General features: G+C 46.9%; 1 protein-coding gene, 1 long non-coding RNA gene, 2 other non-coding genes and 1 pseudogene across 4 annotated transcripts, besides 5 other annotated features; 2 read left to right on the plus strand and 3 right to left on the minus strand.

The window, feature by feature from the left end:
- The first annotated feature begins 4 nt into the window (after positions 1 to 4).
- Positions 5 to 6,795, plus strand: LOC124903994 (uncharacterized). The gene is made up of 3 exons (XR_007065743.1): positions 5 to 195; positions 3,357 to 3,381; positions 6,770 to 6,795. It is a non-coding gene; the product is annotated as an uncharacterized LOC124903994 (long non-coding RNA).
- Positions 6,365 to 12,226, minus strand: RPL23 (ribosomal protein L23). Its single transcript, NM_000978.4, has 5 exons — positions 12,203 to 12,226; positions 11,527 to 11,610; positions 11,109 to 11,237; positions 8,867 to 8,980; positions 6,365 to 8,719 (listed from the first exon to the last, which is right to left on the minus strand). The coding sequence occupies exons 1-5, from the start codon at positions 12,213 to 12,215 to the stop codon at positions 8,637 to 8,639; spliced, it is 423 nt and encodes a 140-aa protein (NP_000969.1). The 5' UTR covers positions 12,216 to 12,226; the 3' UTR covers positions 6,365 to 8,636.
- On the minus strand, positions 10,029 to 10,163 carry SNORA21B (small nucleolar RNA, H/ACA box 21B). Its single transcript, NR_145761.1, has one exon. It is a non-coding gene; the product is annotated as a small nucleolar RNA, H/ACA box 21B (small nucleolar RNA).
- Positions 11,079 to 11,862: an enhancer, noted in NCBI's record as "NANOG-H3K27ac-H3K4me1 hESC enhancer chr17:37008827-37009610 (GRCh37/hg19 assembly coordinates)". NCBI's record gives its function as "activates a minimal SCP1, AML or CMV promoter by ChIP-STARR-seq in primed H9 embryonic stem cells {active_cell/tissue: H9 hESC(primed)}" and the evidence as "EXISTENCE:reporter gene assay evidence [ECO:0000049][PMID:30033119]".
- Positions 11,079 to 12,646: a biological region, named in NCBI's record as "P300/CBP strongly-dependent group 1 enhancer GRCh37_chr17:37008921-37010120".
- Positions 11,173 to 12,372: an enhancer, noted in NCBI's record as "P300/CBP strongly-dependent group 1 enhancer chr17:37008921-37010120 (GRCh37/hg19 assembly coordinates)". NCBI's record gives its function as "activates an origin of replication core promoter dependent on BRD2, BRD4, P300/CBP, MED14 and CDK7 cofactors, with strong dependence on P300/CBP, by STARR-seq in HCT116 cells {active_cell/tissue: HCT116}" and the evidence as "EXISTENCE:reporter gene assay evidence [ECO:0000049][PMID:35650434]".
- On the minus strand, positions 11,368 to 11,500 carry SNORA21 (small nucleolar RNA, H/ACA box 21). Its single transcript, NR_002576.1, has one exon. It is a non-coding gene; the product is annotated as a small nucleolar RNA, H/ACA box 21 (small nucleolar RNA).
- Positions 11,863 to 12,646: an enhancer, noted in NCBI's record as "NANOG-H3K27ac-H3K4me1 hESC enhancer chr17:37009611-37010394 (GRCh37/hg19 assembly coordinates)". NCBI's record gives its function as "activates a minimal SCP1, AML or CMV promoter by ChIP-STARR-seq in primed H9 embryonic stem cells {active_cell/tissue: H9 hESC(primed)}" and the evidence as "EXISTENCE:reporter gene assay evidence [ECO:0000049][PMID:30033119]".
- Positions 12,370 to 12,479: an enhancer, noted in NCBI's record as "active region_12080". NCBI's record gives its function as "activates an Ori minimal core promoter by ATAC-STARR-seq in GM12878 lymphoblastoid cells {active_cell/tissue: GM12878}" and the evidence as "EXISTENCE:reporter gene assay evidence [ECO:0000049][PMID:35858748]".
- Positions 13,699 to 14,209, plus strand: RPS20P35 (ribosomal protein S20 pseudogene 35; annotated as a pseudogene).

A 19,476-nucleotide genomic window follows, 5' to 3' on the forward strand; every position in this document is an offset into this window, starting at 1 on the left:
CCCTATTGTCTCCACTCACCCCGGGTTGACCGGTGGGCCCTTAAGGCCGTGGGGGAAGTTGCTTGCTTGGCCCCAGAGGAGGTTGACCAGACTGACTATGCAAGAGGAGTTGGAAAGTGAAGGGGAGGAGACTGGATAACCGATTGTGGGCAGTTTGTGTGCATTTAGGCCCCGCTCCCCCAGTTTTCCTTTAAGGTGAGTATTCTCTTTTCCCACGGTATTACATGCTATTTCCTCAGCTCAGTTTTGTTGAAAAGCTTGTACCCGGAATTGATCAGAAAGTTCAGATCGCACCTACTTCCAATTCTCATTTTACAGAGCTAGAAGTTGAAGCTTAGAAAGTTTCCCTAGGCCGGGCGCGTTGGCTTACGCCAGTAATCCCAGCATTTTGGGAAAACGAGGCGGGGGGGATCGCTTGGGCCCAGGAATTCAAGACCAGCCTGGGCAATAAAGCGAAAGTCCATCTCTACTAAATAAATGAATACTTAGCCGAGTGTGGTGGCGCGCACCTGTGGACTCAGCTGCACTGCAGGCTGGGCCATGGAGGTGGAGGCTGCAGTGAGCCATGATTGTGCCACACTCCTGGATGAGAGAAGGAGGCCCTGTCTCAAAAGACAAAAAAAAAAAAAAAAAAAAAAAAAAAAAAAAAGGCCGGGCGCGGTGGCTCACGCCTGTAATCCCAGCACTTTGGGAGGCCGAGGCAGGCGGATCACGAGGTCAGGAGATCGAGACCATCCTGGCTAACACAGTGAAACCCTGTCTCTACTAAAAATACAAAAAATTAGCCGGGCGTGGTGGCGGACGCCTGTAGTCCCAGCAACTCGGAAGGCTGAGGCAGGAGAATGGCGTGAACCCGGGAGGCGGAGCTTGCAGTGAGCCGAGATCGCACCACTGCACTCCAGCCTGGGCGACAGAGCAAGACTACGTCTCAAAAAAAAAGAGGTTCCCCAAATCCAGTTAGCTGACTTCCGGTCAGTCCACTTAACAATTCTCCTGCCCCACCCGAATTAACATTATTTATTTACTTATTCTTTTTATTTATTTATTTATTTTAGAGACAAAGTCTCGCTCTGTTGCCCAGGTTGTAGTGCAGTGGCTCAATCCTGGCTCACTGCAACCTGTGCCTCCCGGCTTCAAGCAATTCTCTGCCTCAGCCTCCCAAGTAGCTGGGATTACAGGCACCTGCCACCACGCCCGGCTAATTTTTTGTATTTTTAGTAGAGCCGGGGTTTCACCATCTTGGCCAGGCTGGTCTTGAACTCCTGATCTCGTGATCCACCCCTCTCAGCTTCCCAAAGTGCTGGGATTACAGGCGTGAGCCACCGCGCCCAGCCTTTCACTTATTCTATCTATCTATCTATCTGTCTGTCTGTCCGTCTATCTATCTATCTATCTATCTATCTATCTATCTATCTATCTATCTATCTATTTAGAGAGGGAGTCTCGCTCTGTTGCCCAGGCCGGAGTGCAGCGGCGCGATCTTGGCTCACTGCAACCTCCGCCTCCCAGGTTCAAGTGATTATTCCGCCTGAGCCTTCCGAGTAGCTGAGATTACAGGCGCCTGACACTAAGCCCGGCTAATTTTGGTATTTTTAGTAGAAACGGGGTTTTGCCATGTTGGCCAAGCTGGTCTCGAACTCCTGACCTCAAATTATCAGCCCACCTCGGCCTCCCAAAGTGCTGGGATTACAGGCATAAGCCACTGTGTCTGGCCTATTATATATATTTTAATATAAATATAAAATGTATATTTTATATTTAAATATTTTATATTTATATTAAAAATATATATATATATTTTTTAGGTGTCACCCAGGCTGGAGTGCAGTGGTGCGATCTTGGCTCACTGAAACCTCTGCCTCCCGGGTTCAATCTATTCTCCTGTGTCAGCATCCTGAATAGCTGAGATTACATGCCCGTGTCACCACCCCAGACTAAATTTTTTTTTTTTTTTGAAATGGAGTCTCACTGTGTCACCCAGGCTGGAGTGCAGTGGCAGGATCTCAGCTCACTGCAGCCTCCCAGGTTCAAGCGATTCTCCTGCCTCAGCTTCCTGAGTAGCTGGAATCACACGCGCACGCCACCACACCTGGCTAATTTTTGTATTTTCAGTAGAGCCGGGGTTTCACCATGTTGGCCAGGCTGGTCTCGAACTCCTGATCTCAGGTGATCCACCTGCCTCGGCCTACCAAAGTGCTGGGATTACTGGCGTGAGCCATCCTGCCCCGCCACCCAGCTAATTTTTTTTTTTTTTTTTTTGAGACAGGGATTCACTCTTGTTGCCCAGGCTGGAGTGCAATGGCGCGATCTCGGCTCACCGCAACCTCCGCCTCCCAGGTTCAAGCGATTCTCCTGCCTCAGCCTCCCTAGTAGCTGGGATTACAGGCATGTGCCACCACACCCGGCTAATTTTGTATTTTTAGTAGAGATGGGGTTTCTCCATGTTGGTCAGGCTGGTCTCGAACTCCTGACCTCAGGTGGTCTGCCCGCCTCAGCCTCCCAAAGTGCTGGGATTACAGGCATGAGCGACCATGCCCGGCCATTAATTTTTGTATTTTTATTATTATTATTATTTTTTTTGAGATGGAGTCTTGCTCTATTGCCCAGGCCGGAGTGCAGTGGTGTGATCTTGGCTCACTGCAACCTCTGCCTCCTGGGTTTACAGGTGCACGCCACCACGCCTAGCTAATTTTTATATTTTTCTAGATACAGGGTTTTGCCAGGCTGGTCTTGAACTCCTGACCTCAGGTGATTTGCCTGCCTCGGTCTCTGAAAGTGCTGGGATTACAGGCGTGAGTAATTTTTGTCTTTTTAGTACAGATGGAGTTTCACCATGTTGGCCAGGCTGGTCTCAAAATTCTGACCTCTAGTGATCCTCTCGCCTTGGCCTCTTGCCAAAGTGCTGGGATTACAGGTGTGAGTCACCATGCCCAGCCCCACCCGAGTTATTTTCACCCGCTATTATTTATGCTTGTTTTTTTCCCCTCGAGACATGGTTTCACTCCAATTTCCCAGGCTGGCATGCAGCGTTGCGATCCGGAATCACTGCAACCTCTGCCTCCCGGACTCAAGCGATTCTTCTGCCTCAGCCTCCAATTAGCTGGGATTACAGGCACACGCCACCAGGCCCAGCTAATTTTCGTATTTTTTGTAGAGACAGGGTTTCGCTGTGTTGGCCAGACTGGTTTTGAACTCCTGAGCTCAAGTGATCAGCCCACCTTGGCCTCCCAAGCTGGGAGGATTAGAGCCATGAGCCACCAGGACTGGCCTTATCTTTCCTTTAAAATAACAAAACGGTGGGGGGACACATTACCATATTTTTCCTCCAGCTAATTTTCTTTTTCTTTTTCCTTTAGTTTCCACATACAGCATTGGATCTAGGTAATTATATAAATTACATATTTTATTATTTTATTTATTTCTGAGACAGTGTCGCTCTGTCGCGCAGGCTGCAGTGCAGTGGAGCGATCTAGGCTCACTGCAGCCACCGCGTCCTGGGTTGAAGCCATTCTCCTGCCTCAGCCCAGAGTAGCTGGGAGTACAGATACACACAACCACACCCAGCTAATTTTTTTTGTAGAGACGGAGGTGTTTTTTTTGTTTGTTTGTTTTTTGGGTTTTTTTTTTTTTTTTTTTTTTTGAGACAGAGTCTCGCTGTGTCGCCCAGGCTGGAGTGCAATTGCGCGATCTCGGCTCACTGCAACCTCCACCTCCCGGGTTCAAGTGATTCTTCTGTCTCAGTCTCCCGAGTAGCTGGAGTTACAGGCACCTGCCACCACTCCCAGCTGATTTTTTAATTTTTTTTGAGACAGAGTCTCGCTCTGTTGCCCAGGCTGGAGTGCAGTGGTGCGATCTCGGCTCACTGCAAGCTCCGCCTCCCGGGTTAACGCCATTCTCCTGCCTCAGCCTCCCCAGTAGCTGGGACTACAGGCGCCCGCCACCACGCCCAGCCAATATTTTGTATTTTGTTTAGTACAGACAGGGTTTCATTGTGTTAGCTAGGATGGTCTCGATCTCTTGACCTCGTGATCCGCCCGCCTTGGCGTCCCAAAGTGCTGGGATTACAGGCATGAGCCACCGCGCCTGGCCTAATTTTTATATTTTTAGTAGAGACGGGGTTTCACCATTCTGGCCGGGCTGGTCTTAAACTCCTGACCTCGTGATCCGCCCATCTCAGCCTCCCAAAGTGCTGGGATTACAGGCGTGAGCCACCATGCCCGGCCTTGTTTTTTTTTTGTTGTTGTTTTTTGTTTTTGTTTTTTCTTTGAGATGGAGTTTCACTCTTCTTGCCCAGGCTGGAGTGCAATGGCACGATCTTGGCTCACTGCAACCTCTGCCTCCTGGGTTCAAGCGATTCTCTTGCCTCAGCCTCCCAAGTAGCTGGGATTACAGGCATGTACCACCACAGCCAGCTGATTTTGTACTGTTAGTACAGACAGGGTTTCACCATGTTGATCAGGCTGGTCTTGAACTCCTGACCTCAGGTGATCTACCCGCCTCGACCTCCCAAAGTGCTGGGATTACAGGCGTGAGCCACCACGGCCGTTGTTTTGTTTTTTGAGACAGAGTCTGGCTATTGTCGCCCAGGCTGGAGTGCAATGGTGCGATTTTGGCTCACTGCAACCTCCACCTCCTGGGTTCAAGTGATTCTCCTGCCTCAGCCTCCTGAGTAGCTGGGATTACAGGCGCCCATCACCACACCCAGCTAATTTTTGTATTTTTAGTAGAGACGCGTGTTTCGCCACATTGGCCAGGTTGATCTGGAACTCCTGACCTCAGGTAATCCACCTGCCTTGGCCTCTCAAAGTGTTGGGATTACAGCCGTGAGCCTCCGCACCCAGCCGAGATGGAGGTTTTTTTAATTTTTTTTGAGACGGAGTCTCACTCTGTCGCCCAGGATGGAGTGCAGTGGCACGATCTTGGTTCACTGAAAGCTCCGCCTCCCGGTTTCACGCCATTCTCCTGCCTCAGTCTCCTGAATAGCTGGGACTACAGGTGCCCGTCACCATGCCTGGCTAATTTTTTTTGTATTTTTAGTAGAGACGGGGTTTCACCGTTAGCCAGGATGGTCTTGATCTCCTGACCTCATGATCTGCCTGCCTCGGCCTCCCAAAGTGCTGGGATTACAGGCGTGAGCCACTGTAACTGGCCTGTTTTGTTTTTTTCATAGAGACAGTCTTGCCCAGGCTGGAGTGCAGTAGTGTGATCATTGCTCACTGTAGCCTTGACCTCCTGGCCTCAAGTGATCCTCCCACTTCAGCCTCCAGAGTAGCTGAGACTAAAGGTACACACCACCACACCCGGCCAATTTTTGCGTGCCTGTAGCTAGACTTCAGAATTGCTCATCTCAGCCTCCAGAGTAGCCGGGATAATAGGCATGCTCCACTAGGTCTTGTAGTGAATTTACTATTTTTTTATATTTACTACTATTTTTATTATGAAAGTACATGTATTACTGTTCAAGTTGCAAGCTACTATAAATCAGATCTGATATCTTGAATCCATTCTATTAAAACTTTTACCTAGAAAGAACTTGCAGAATATAAACAGTGACAAAGGAAACAATATATATATATATATATCTGGCCGGGCGCAGTGGCTCACACGTGTAATCTCAGTACTTCGGGAGGCCGAGGGGGGCGGATCACCTGAGGTCGGGAGGTGGAGACCAGCCTGACCAACATGGAGAAACTCGGTCTCTACTAAAAATACACAATTAGCCAGGCGTGGTGGTGCATGCCTGTAATCCCAGCTACTCAGGAGGCTGAGGCAGAAGAATCACTTGAACCCGGGAGGCGGAGGTTGCAGTGAGCCGAGATCACACCATTGCACTCCAGCCTGGGCACAAGAGCGAAACTCGGTCTCAAAATAAAAAAATGCTAAAAAAAAAAAAAAAAAAAAAAAAAAAAAAGATACAAAAATCAGCCTAGCGTGGTGGCGGGCACCTGTAGTCACAGGTACTCGGGAGGCTGAGGCAGGAGAATCGCTAGAACCCAGGAGGCAGAGGTTGCAGTGAGCTGAGATTGCACCACTGCACTCAAGCCTGGGCAACAAGAGCCCAGGAGTCTCTTGGAGCCCAGGAGTGAGATGGAGTCTCCCTGGCTCACTGCAACTTCCGCCACTGCAACCCCTGCCTCTTGGGTTCAAGCAATTCTCCTGCCTCAGCCTGCGGAGTAATTGGGACTACAGGCACGCGTCACCACGCCCAGCTAATTTTGTATTTTTAGTAGAGACGAGATTTCACCATGTTGGCCAGGCTGGTCTTGAACTCCTCACCTCAGGTGATCAGCCCATCTCGGCCTCCCAAAGTGCTGGGATTACAGGTGTGAGCCACCATGCCCAGCTGACAAAGGAAAACATTTAGTGAAGTGTAAATATAAAGTTTTTTAATCCAAGTCAAAAAAAATCTCCAAAGAATAAAATGTGAGGTGGGATGCAGTGGCTCACACTTGTAATTGCAGCCCTTTGAAGGCCACAGCAGGAGGATTCCAAGTCCAGCAGTTCAAAGTTACAGTGAGCTTCAGTGGTGTTACTGCACTCCAGCCTGTGTGACAGAGCAAGACTGCCTCAGAAAAGATAACATTCAAAAACAGCAGCGATTAGTGGTTAATATATAAGGATCATATATTGCCATAATATATAAAGACATAAATGGTGGGCCTAGGGGCTTGTCACACTAAAGCTGACTTGAAATTGACCATACTCAGGGATGTTATGGTGTAACTCTCTAAAACTAGAGATTTAATACATTTTTTTTCTTTCCCCCCAGAGTTTCACTGGTTGCCCAGGCTGGAGCACAATCGTGCGACCTCAGCTCACTGCAACCTCCATCTCCGGGGTTCAAGCAATTCTCCTGCCTCAGCCTCCCAAGTAGCTGGGATTACAGCATGCACCACCATGCCTGGCTAATTTTGTATAGTAGAGATGGGGTTTCAACATGTTGGACAGGCTGGTCTCACTCTCCTGACCTCAGATGATCCACCCACCTCAGCCTCCCAAAGTGCTGGGATTATAGGTGTGAGCCACCGTACCCAGGCGAGATTTAATACTTCTAAAACCAAGCCTGGTTCAGTCTAGACAGGGTACTGGTTCTCAGTCTTGGGTATACCTTGACATCTCCTGGGAGCTTCACAATTCTGATGTCTGAGTCCTATTCTGCAGTCTGACTTAATTGGTCTAGGGTATGGACCGGAAACATTTTCAAAAGCTCCAGGTTAGAACAACTCCTCTCTAGGTCTGGTACATTCCATAACTAGTCATGGAAGACACTAAGGGTAGTCCTTTTTGATACCAAGTGGAGCTTGTATTATACCCAACTTACAGGTAGAAACATTTATGGCTGAGTATTTGCAGATACAGATACATAAACACAAACCTTAATCTAAAAACCCTGTTTAGTCCACTTCCCTCCAAATTATTGTTCTAAACAAACACCCATTTTTCCAAAACGCTGGGTGTCACCTAAATAAACTCTTACACGTTTAGAAAGAAATGCTAACAACCTCCTACCTTAAGGCCAAGTCCCTTATTATCAGCGCTTTATGCCTGTTCAGTTGGCAAAAATTTACCACATTCTTCCATTCTCAAACTAGAGCTTGGAACATAAATTACACGATCATCCTGTTTGTCAAAACATTTTCATAGCAAAATACCTGTAGGTACCATCAACTTAATCATCTTCCACTATGACAGTAAACCTACATGGCAATTACTGTTGTTTTATAAATATTCAATTTACTCCAAATCTGTTAACTGCTAAAATGTACATACATAAACAAACTCACATCATTCCTCAAAATCCATGTGTGTGTCCAGGATCTAACTATATAGTCTATCTTAACTTCAATGCCTTTTTTTGGGGCGGGGGCGGGAACGGAATCTTGCTCCGTTGCCCAGGCTGGATGGAGTACAATGGTGCAATCTCGACTCGCTGCAAACTCCACCTCCCAGGTTCAAGCGATTCTCTCAGTAGCTGAGATTACAGGCGGTGCGCCACCACGCCCAGCTAATTTTTGTATTTTTAGAAAAGAGGAGGTTTCACCACGTTGGTCAGCCTGGTCTTGAACTCCTGACCTCATGATCTGCCTGCCTTGGCCTCCGAAAGTGTTGGGATTACAGGTGCCAGCTACCGCGCCCAGCCATTTGAATGCCTTCCTCACTCCAGGAGAAGCTACCATGTATAGCCAGTCATTGAGCAGTATCTACTATTATTTTTGGGACTCAAAACCCAAATAATACTTTTTGAGGCCAAAATTGTAAATACAGCAATTGGAAGATGCTGAAAGTCTGCAAACTCACAAAAAAGCAAGGATTGCTTTAAAAAAAAAATGCCCAGAGTTTCCATTTCAGAAAAGTGATGGTCAGGGTATGTCAAAAACACTGTAGAGGCCTGGGTGGGCAGATCACTTGAGATCAGGAGTTTGAGTCGTTTGGCAAACATGGTGAAACCCTGTCTCCACCAAAAATACAAAAACTAGCCAGGCATGACGGCAGGTGCCTGTAATCCCAGCTACTTAGGAGGCTGAGGCAGGAGAATCGCTTGAACCCTGGAAGTGAACAGGGAGACAAGCACTGCAAACAAATACTTTTTAATGGGTTTAGTTTTTTTTTTTATTTTTTACAAATATACTGGAGAATCATGCAATGCTGCCAGCATTGGATGCAATCCGGGGCCACAAGTCTGCACACTCCTTTGCTACTGGTCCTGTAATGGCAGAACCTGCATTAAAAAAATAAAATAAAATAAAATAAAAACATGTGGGGGACAGATTAAGACATCGTCAAACACAGAAGATCCTTGGCCTGTACTTCTAGACAATCCACCCAACCTCAGAGACCTAAGGAACAAGCTGGACTGATTTCCTACCTTTCATCTCGCCTTTATTGTTCACTATGACTCCTGCATTATCTTCAAAATAAAGAAACACGCCATCTTTTCTACGGTATGACTTTCGTTGTCGAATGACCACTGCTGGATGTACTGAGAGAAGAAAAAAGGACAGCAGTCATTAACCTGTCAAGTCGCAGTGCCACCACAAAAGCAGTTTCCAACTAGACAGAATGTACACTCAGCGTTTGAGACAGTGACAGTGTAAATATCAATCTTCAAGGTGATCCTCCCACCTCAGCCTCTCTAGTATCTTGGACTACAGGTGCACACTACCATGCCCAGATTTTTTTTTTTTTTTCATAGAGACAGGGTTTTGCCATGTTGGCAAGCCTGGCCTCCCAAAGTGCTGGGAGTATAGGGAGTAAAGGCATGAACCACGATCATCTATTCACATCTTAAAATCAAAGCTGCCAGTATTTTCTCACAAGTGTAAAACTCTCAGGACAACTATCCTTGCCTATGCCTTTTCCAACTTCACCTTACAGGTAGGTTATTAAGATCCCAGTATCACTGAATTGGGATGTAGAAATGGGACCTGGGACCCCCAACTCCTCCCAGTCCTGGCAATGAGCAGAGACCAAGCTATTCAGATTTACACTGGAAAACAGTTTGAATTCCTGGGCCCAAGCACCAGGCTTTGTTTTACTTTTAATGAACTGTTTTCTAGTGTCCTAAGTAACTTTTATACCCATCTGTACTAAAGTGAAAAAGACGCTTTTCCCAACTTTCAAAATGAAGTATCACTACACAGTGAAATATAATGCTTGTGAAGAACTATTGTAGAGTCAGACACACCTGGATTCACAATCTTCACTGATACTAGCATGGGGTCCTTACACAGAATTTTTATGACAGGAAGACTACACAAAAAATAGATAAGTCTAACCAAGTTAGTAATGGGACACACATGAGGTAGCCAATACTTACTGACTGACCCTCCTCTACTCATAAACCATTTAATCCTCACAAATTCTTCAAGTAGACCTGGTCCTTTTGCATATTTCTGTGCTTGTTATTTATTGATATTAAGTTCCAAGGGGAGGGGATGTATTCATTTAGCAGAAACAAGGACCAAAAAAGACATTAACAGAATTGGAAACTCACAACTAGTTTTAAAACTGAAGTGTTCGGAGCTCTGGTCTGTCCCACCACTGACTGAGACCAACAATCCACCCTCCTGCCATCTCATCTACAAAGTGAAGGCCATTTGCTCTGCTCTTCTCTGACAGCTCCCTGGGCCACCAATCAGACCCAGGAAGTGTTCTGAGAAGAGGAAAAAGCCCATGCAATTGCTGAATCACAATCACAGTGCTACCCAGCCCTCAAATGGATATTAATGGTGAACAAAAAACAATTTCTAACCCAAAGGCTAAAAATCTACTGGACAGCATCGTGGGGTGGATACAGGAATAGGAGTAACTGTAATACAGGGCTGACAAATCAACATCACATTTGTAAATCAAGGGATGGCCAGGAACTCTTTAGAAGAGCAAGACATCCCAGGGTAGAGACAGATTAGGCAGGCACAGGAAAAAAGTGCAAGCGCTGAAGTTAAAATGCACCAAACACCAGAAGTTCTAAAGCCAGACAGGACACAAGCTGCAAGTATTTTGAGGCCTCCCCCTTTAAATCATACACCTGACAGGAAAAATTTTGAGTGGGGAGCCTGAGATTAAGTAATGAGCAATTAGCCGGGTGTGGTGGTGCACACCTATGATCCCAGCTACTCGGGAGGCTGAGGCAGGACAATCTCTTGAGCCCGGGAGGTGGAGGTTGCAGTGAACAGATATGTGCCACTGCACTCCAGCCTGGGCAACAAGTGAGACTCCATCTCAAAAACAAATAATAAAATAAGCAACGGGCAGCTTGTTTTCGTTTTGTAATATATTTTTTTTTGAGAGCCCAGGAGGCGGAGGTTGCAGTGAGCCAAGATCGTGCCATTGCACTCCAGTATGGGCTGGGCGACAGAGAGAGACTCCATCTCAAAAAACAAAACAAAACAAAACAAAAACAACAACAAAAAAACAACTAAGGTATGGAAGTGACAAGATGATGGTCCCCCCTCCAACACAATATGAGCAAAAACTTAAGATACTTATCTCACACTGCCTCTCAATGGAAAACAAACTTGAGGCCTTGAAAACTGATCCATTTTCCAATAAAGGAAAGCGTCCCCCCACTACTCATCAGTATTAAGGTGGGCTCAGTGTTTACTCACCCTTTTTTCTGAGCTCTGGTTTGCCTTTCTTGACTGTGGCCATCACCATGTCACCCACACCAGCAGCGGGAAGTCTGTTCAGCCGTCCCTTGATCCCCTTCACGGAGATGATATACAGGTTTTTGGCTCCTACAAAAGAATGTAAATAAAAATAAAAAATGTTGAGGGCCATCAGGCCGTTCCATCAGTATAACATTTCCCAAACACTTCCAAAGCCCCTCCCTCCACTCACTGCCCAAGCAGTTAGTCCGCAAGAACGCCTTGTCACACCACCGATTGAAGCAAACAACACATGTTGCCACTTCACCCAAAAGCGATGTTTTCACTCTCCCCTTTCTTGACGGCTCAATAGGTCATTAGCCACAGGCCCATTGAGTGCTTTTAAAAGGGGGAGTATAGCAACGTGCAAAGACCTCACCTGTGTTGTCAGCACAATTGATTACAGCTCCTACCGGAAGACCCAAGGAAATCCGGAATTTCGCACCAGAGGACCCACCACGTCCTGTGGATATAAAGGGAAGGGAAACAGGATAAAGAGATCACAATCTAGACATGGTTCGGAGTTCCCCCTCATACTCAAGCTGTAATTCACCGCACATGCTTTGATAGACTGTACGCTATAGATTAGCTCGCTCGGATTTTACTTATGCCGTCCCCATGTGCCACCCGATTCTCACGGAAAGTAGCCTATTTCTTACTATTAACACTCTGACATCGAAATTAAGAAACCTAGACGACTCAACCCTTGCTCTAACTTTCGCAAAACGCAATTACTCCTGCAAGGCATAAAACCGCAGAGGTCGCGCAAACCAGGGCCTAATCCAGTCTAACTTCAACCCCATTACGATAGCCCTATTCGCGGAGCGATCTCGCGGTATCCAGACTACATTCACGTCGGGATCCTGCCATCTCAACTCTCCAGCACCCCACTGCCACTTTCGAGGGCCCTGGCAGTGCTCTCGCGGTGGCCTGGCTCTCTCTCTCCGGCCTGAAGGAGAGCAAAGCGCCCCAGCTGCCTAGGGCCACCGCTCCTGACGAATCCGCCAGCCACTGCACGACAGATGGTGGAGGATCCTCCAGAAACAAAACCTCACCTCGCTTCGACATCTTGAACGCCGGAAAAAAGAAAAAAGGAAGTCGATTCAAAGGACACTGGGATATGAACTTTAACGCCCCGCCCACCCTCCTCACGTGGCCGGAGCAAAAACCGGCCTCTTCCGCCTCTGGGCGCTGCCTTATTACGTAATAAGTTTACGACGTCGCTTTTAGCCCTCTCTGCGAAGTGGGAGTTGAGGTAGAAGCGCAAGAGATAGGAAGTATCTTCTCTACGAGCTTAAGAGTAGTTAGGGACATGGAAACAGTGATTTGTTAACTTGCTCACGACCTCTTTTGACCACTTAATAGTGCCAGGCACTTATCTGCACACTAGAGAATAGGAATTAAAACACGGTTTGTGCCGTGTGGGGGTTCCCCAAGGAACAAAGAAAGTGGGGGAGGGAGGGAGAACAAGCTCTAAACGGTTTCGTTGAATGTAATACAGTTGAGAAGTGCTGCAGATCATTCCATCTATGTGTTCTTGGTATCATACCATTCTGTATTTTACATATACAGTATTGCTCTATTTATTGACCCGTCCCCCCCAACACACACTCTTTTTTTCTTTTTTTGAGACCGAGTCTCACTCTGTCGCCCAGGCTGGAGTATAGTGGCGAGATCTCAGCTCACTGCAACCTCCGTCTTCCGGGTTCAAGCAATTCTCTGTCTCAGCCTCAGAGTACCTGAGACCACAGGCGCCCGCCACAACGCTGGGCTAATTTTTGTATTTTTAGTAGAGACGGGGTTTCGCCATGTTATTGGCCAGGCTGGTCTCGAACTTCTGATCTCAAGTGATCTGCCCGCCTTGGTCCCTCAAAGTGCTGGGATTACAGGCGTGAGCCCCCGCGCCAGGCCTAATTGCTCCTTTCACAGCTTCAGCCGCCCCTTATTCTCTGGGTTCTTTCCTTCCCACGATACATTAATTCACATACTTATTGAGCTCCTACTTTACAGCAGGTTCTGTCCAGGGCGTACAGCGGATTACATCAGAGAACAAAATAGATCAACATTCTTTTCCTTATGGAGCTTACATTCTGCTGGGGTGCAGGTGGAGGAGGATATTAGACACTAAACAAAAGATATAATAAGTAATTGCAGTATGTAGTATGTTAGATGGGGATATGTATTATAAAAATATAAATAGTATCGCTTCTCGGCCTTTTGGCCAAGATCAAGTGTAAAATATAAATAGTGGCCGGGCCTTGTGGCTCACGCTTGTAATCCCAGCACTTTGGGAGGCCGAGGCGGGTGGATCACGAGGTCAGGAGATCGAGACTAGCCTGGCCAACACAGGGAAACTCCGTCTCTACTAAAAATACAAAAATTAGCTGGGCGTGGTGGCGGGCGCCTGTAATCCCAGCTACTCCGGAGGCTGAGGCAGGAGAATCGCTTGAACCCAGAAGGCAGAGGCGGCAGTGAGCCGAGATCGCGCTACTGCACTCCAGCCTGGGCGACAGAGCTAGACTCCGTCTCAAAAATGTATATAGATAAATAGCTCTTTGAGGAAGACGCGGTCGTAGGTGTTGCGGATCGCTGATCCGCACGCTCCTGCTACTGACTCACCGCTGTTCGCCCTCGCCGAGGAACCAGTCGCTCAGGAAGCCGCGCAGCAGCCATGGCTTTTAAGGATACCGGAAAAACACCCAGGGAGGCGGAGGTGGCAATTCACGAATTCGAGTCACTCTAACGAGCCGCATCGTAAAATCCCTGGAGAAGGTGTGTGCTGACTTGATCAGAGGAGCAAAGGAAAATAATCTCAAAGTGAAAGGACCAGTTCGAATGCCTGCCAAGACTTTGAGAATCACTTCAAGAAAAACTTTGTGGTGAAGGTTCTAAGACATGGGATCATTTCCAGATGAGAATCCACAAGTGACTCATTGACTTGCACAGTCCTTCTGAGATTGTTAAGCAGATTACTTCCATCAGTATTGAGCCAGGAGTTGAGGTGGAAGTCACCATTGCAGATGCTTAAGTCAACTATTTTAATAAATTGATTACCAGTTTTTTTTTCTTTTTCTTTTCTTTCTTTTCTTTCTTTCTTTCTTTTTTTTTTTTGAGACGGAGTTTCGCTCTTGTTGCCCAGGCTGGAGTGCAGTGGCGCGATCTTGGCTCACCGCAACCTCCACGGCCGATATCTATCTATCTATCTCTATCTATCTCTCTCTCTCTCTCTATCTCTATAGAGATATATATCTATAGAGATAGATAGAGATATATCTATCTCTATGTATTTATCTATATTAAAAACAACTGGTAATCGGCCGGGCGCGCTGGCTCACGCCTGTAATCCCAGCACTTTGGGAGGCCAAGGCGGGCAGATCACCTGAGGTCAGGAGTTCGAGACCAACCTGGCCAAAATGGTGAAACCTCGTTTCTACAACAATACAAACATTAGCCAGGCGCAGTGGTTCACGCCTGTAATCCCAGCGCCTTGGGAGGCCGAGGCGGTCGGATCACCTGAGGTCGGGAGTTTGAGACCAGCCTGACGACCAACTTGGAGAAACCCCATCTCTACTAAAAATACAAAATTAGCTGGGCGTGGTGGCACATGCCTGTAATCCCAGCTACTCAGGAGGCTGAGGCAGGAGAATCTCTTGAAACCCGGGAGGTGGAGGTTTCAGTGAGCTGAGATTGCACCATTGCACTCCAGCCTGGGCAACAAGAGCGTTTGAAACTCTGTCTCAAAAAAAAAAAAACAAAACAAAACAAAAATGGGGCCAGGTGTGGTGGCTCATGCCTGTAATTCCATCACTTTGGGAGGCCAAGGTGGGTGTATTACTTGAGGTCAGGAGTCAGAGACCAGCTTGCCCTAAATAGCAAAACTCTGTCTCTACTAAAAATACAAAAATTAGCAAGGCATGGTGGCTCATGCCGGTAATTCTAGCACTTTGGGAGGCCGAGGCTGGTAGACTGCCTCAGCTCAGGAGCTGAAGACCCAGCCCAAGCAACATGGCGAAACCCTGTCTCTACTAAAAATACAAAAAATTAGCCAGGCGTGGTGCGTGCCTGCAGTCCCCAGCTACTCGGGAGGCTGAGGCACGAGAATCACTGGAACCCAGGAGGTGGAGGTTGCAGTGAGCCGAGATCGCGCCAGTGCACTCTAGCCTGGGTGACAGAGCAAGATTCCGTCTCAAAAAAAAAAAAAAAAAGATATTGACATGAAACCAGGCACAGTGGCTCACATCTATAATCCCGAAACAATTTGGGAGGTTGAAGCAGGAGGATCCCTTGAGCCCAGGAGTCTGAGACCTGCCTGGGCAACATAGGGAGAGTCCATCTCTACAAAACATTTAAAAATTAGCTGGTGGCGGCTGGGTACAGTGGCTCATGCCTGTAATCCCAGCACTTTGGGAGGCTGAGGCAGGCAGATCATCTGAGGTCAGAAATTTGAGACCAGCCTGCCCGTCATGGTGAAACCCCATCTCTACTAAAAATACAAAAATCAGCTGGGCATGGTGGTGGGCAACCTGTAATCCCAAGTACCCAGGAATCTGAGACAGGAGAATTGTTTGAAGCCGGGAGGCGGAGGTTGCAGTGAGCCCAGATTGCGCCACTGCACTCCAGCCTGAGCAACAGAGCGAGACTCTGTCTTAAAATAAAATAAAATAAAATAAGCTGGTGGCATGGGAATCTGAGGCAGGAGAATCACTTAAACCCAGGAATTGGGGACTGCAGTGAGCCGTGATTGCACCACTGCACTCCAACCTGGGCTACAGAGAGAAACCCTTTGTCATTTTCCAATAAAAAGCCCTAAGGCAGGGGTGTGACTGAACCGAATGAGCACCAGCAAGGAAGCCAGATGTGACTGGACAGGACGAGTAAAGAGCAAAGTAGTAAGAAATGCAGTCAGAAGTAATGGAACGGTGGCTCACACCTGTAATCCCAGCACTTTAGGAGGCCAAGGCAGGTGATAACCTGAGGTCAGGAGTTCAAGACCAGCCTGGCCAACATGGTGAAACCCTGTCTCTACAAAAATACAAAAATTAACCATGCATGATGGCAGGTGCCTGTAATCCCAGCTACTTGGTGGGTTGAGGTGGGAGAATCATGTGAACCTGGGAGGCAGAGGTTGCAGTGAGCCGAGATCACACCATTGCACTCCAGCCTAGGTGACAGAGCGAGAGTTCTGTCTCAAAAAAAGGAAGTCATGGAATGAAACCACTGTGGACTTTGGCATTGGCTGAGTGAAATGAGGAAACATTCTTTGATTTTAAGCAGAGGAGGGACATGATTTGACTAATGTGTCAGAAGGATCACTGTGGTTGAGTTGTTGAGACTACACTGTGGGAGAGGACACAGGGATAGAAGTAAGAAGATCCATTAGGAAGCTATTGCAGTAACCCAGGAGAGAAATGATGGTGGTTTGGACTAGAATGGTAGTAGTGGATGTAATGTAGTCAGATTCTGGATGTGTTTTGGAGGTAGAGCCAATAAAATGTGGGGTATGAAAGATAGGAATCAAAATGTCTCCAAGTCTTTAGGCCTGAGCAATTGGAAGATATCATTGCCGTCAACCAAGATGGAGAAGGCTATGGTTATAGGAGGAATAGTGTTCCTGGTTGGTACTACCACCAGTGTCTCAACCAAAAAACAGGGACACAATTAATTCTCTTCTCCCAGGCTCCTAGAAGTAGTCACCAAGGTCTATCAACTTGACTCTGTTTCCTAAATTTTTCTGCCCATGCCTTCCACGTTCTGCCTTTGTTTCAAAGCTATTGCATCGGCCTCTATATGGTCAGACCATAATTTCCCACTGCTTAAAATCATGTGCTGGCCAGGCATGGTGGCTCACACCTGTAATCCCAGCACTTTGGGAGGCCGAGGCAGGCAGATCACCCGAGGCCAGGAGTTTGAGACCAGCCTGGCCAACATGGTGAAACCCTGTCTCTAATAAAAATACAAAAATTAGTCAGGGGTGATGGCACGCACCTGTGATCCCAGGTATTCAGGAGGCTAAGCAGAAGAATTGCTTGAACCCAGGAGGCAGAGTTGCAGTGAGCCGAGGTTGCCCCACCGCACTCCAGCCTGGGCATGCAGTGAGACTCCATCTCAAGGAAAAAAAAAAAAAAAAAAAACAAGAAAACAAAACAAAAAACATGTACCGACCCTCTGGTACTTATAGAATACAGTCCAAGCTGTTTAAGCATCGAAGTCACTTGAAATGGCCTACCTCTTCCCTGGCTCCATCTTCTGCCACCTTGCCTCTTATATTTCACACACCAGAAACACCAAACCAGTTAGGATTTCTGGACATATAGCTTAGATTCACACTTTCTTGTATTTATGCATTCACCTGCTTTAGCCACTATGTGTTATTTATTTATTTATTTATTTTGAGACAGAGTTTCACTCTTGTTGCCCAGGCTGGGGTGTAATGGCACCATCTCAGCTCACTGCAACCTTTGCCTCCAGGATTCAAGTGATTCTCCTGCTTCGGCCTCCCAAGTAGCTGGAATTACAGGTGTACACCACCATGGCCAGCTAATTTTTTTTTTTTTTTGTATTTTTAGTAGAGATGGGGATTTTACCATGTTGGTCAGGCTAGTCTCGAACTCCTGACCTCAAATGATCCACCTGCCTCAGCCTCCCAAAGTGCTAGGATTACAGGTGTGAGCCACCATGCCCGTCCAACCTGTTCTTTAAAACTCTGCTCAGGTATCATTTCTTCTCTGAGCCGTTTCACAACCCCAGCAGTTTATTCTCTGAGCCACTTCTTTACTAGGAGCTGTGGTTCTCAAATATTTTCATTTTAGACCCCTTTACACTCTTTTTTTTTTTTTTTTTTTTTTAAGACAGAATCTCACTCTGTCACCCAGGCTGGAGTGCAGTGGGACCATGTTGGCTCACTGCAACCTCCATCTCCTGGGTTCAAGCAATTCTCCTGCCTTAGCCTCCTGAGTAGCTAGGATTACAGGCGCCCACTACCACGCCCGGCTAATTTTTTTATATTTTTAGTAGAGACGGGGTTTCACCATGTTGGCTAGTCTGGTCTCAAATTCCTGAACTCAGGTGATCCATCCGCCTCGGCCTCCCAAAGTGCTGGGATTACAGGCGTGAGCCACTGTGCCCGGCCCTTTTTTTTTTTTTGAGACGAAGTTTTGCTCTTGTTGCCCAGGCTGGAGTGCAATGGTGTGATCTCAGCTCAATGCAACCTCTGCTTCCCGGGTTCAAGCGATTCTCCTGCCTCAGCCTCCCGAGTAGCTGGGATTACAGACATGCGGCACCTCGCTTGGCTAATTTTGTATTTTTGTTAGAGATGAGGTTTTTCCATGTTGGTCAGGGTTGTCTCTAACTCCTGACCTCAGGTGATCAGCCCACCTCGGCCTCCCAAAGTGCTGGGATTACAGGCATGAGCCTCCTTGCCCAGCCTCCTTTACACTCCTAAATTATTAAAGACCTCAAGGAGTTTTTGTTCATATAGGTTATATCTGATGACATTTACCATATTATAAATTAAAGTTAAGAAAGTTATTACTTCACGTAAAATAACAATAAACCCATTTTTTGCTAAAGTAAATAACATTTTAGAATGAGGAATAGGTCAAGTTTGGTGGCTCAGGCCTGTAATCCCAGCGGGAGGATCACTTGTCCTCAGGAGTTTGAGACCAGCCTGGACAACAAAGTGAGATCCTATTTCTACAAAATATCAAAAAATTAGCTAGGTGTGGTGGCGTGAGCCTATGGTCCTAACTACACAGGAGGCGGAAGCAGGAAGATCACTTGAGCCTGGGAGGTTGAGGCTACAGTGAGCCATGATTGCGCCACTGCACTCCAACCTGGGCAACAGAGACCCTGTCTCAAATATAAAATAAAATAAAATAAATAAATGTAACTATATTTTTCCAAACAAAAATAATTTAGTGAGAAGGGTGACTTTGCTTTACTTATTTTTTTTTAAATCCCTTTAATACCTGGCTTGATGAAAGAACTGGTTTTTCATGTTTTTACACTAATCTGTTGTGATTTCACACATTTAATCTCTGGAAATCTCCACTGTATTCTCATGAAAGAGCAAGAGTAAGACAGAAAAAAAATGACATTATTATTAAAATAATTCTTTCCTCTGCACAGAAAGGGTCTCACTAATATTATCAAGAAAATAGGCCAGGCGTGGTGGCTCACGCCTGTAATCCCAGCACTTTGGGAGGCCGAGGCGGGCGGATCACGAGGTCAGGAGATCGAGACCATCCTGGCTAACACAGTGAAACCCCAGTCTCTACTAAAAAATACGAAAAATTAGCCGGGCGTGATGGCGGGCGCCTGTAGTCCCAGC

This window comes from Homo sapiens, chromosome 17 (genome assembly GCF_000001405.40).
Source record: "Homo sapiens chromosome 17, GRCh38.p14 Primary Assembly".
NCBI lineage: Eukaryota > Metazoa > Chordata > Mammalia > Primates > Hominidae > Homo > Homo sapiens.

Coding starts and splice junctions, on each gene's coding strand:
- RPL23 (NM_000978.4), bottom strand. Junction 8,981..11,108: donor ACCAGAGCTCAGAAAAAAGG/GTGAGTAAACAC, acceptor TTCTTCTCTCAG/TACATCCAGCAGTGGTCATT. Junction 8,720..8,866: donor CAATAAAGGCGAGATGAAAG/GTAGGAAATCAG, acceptor TTTTTAATGCAG/GTTCTGCCATTACAGGACCA.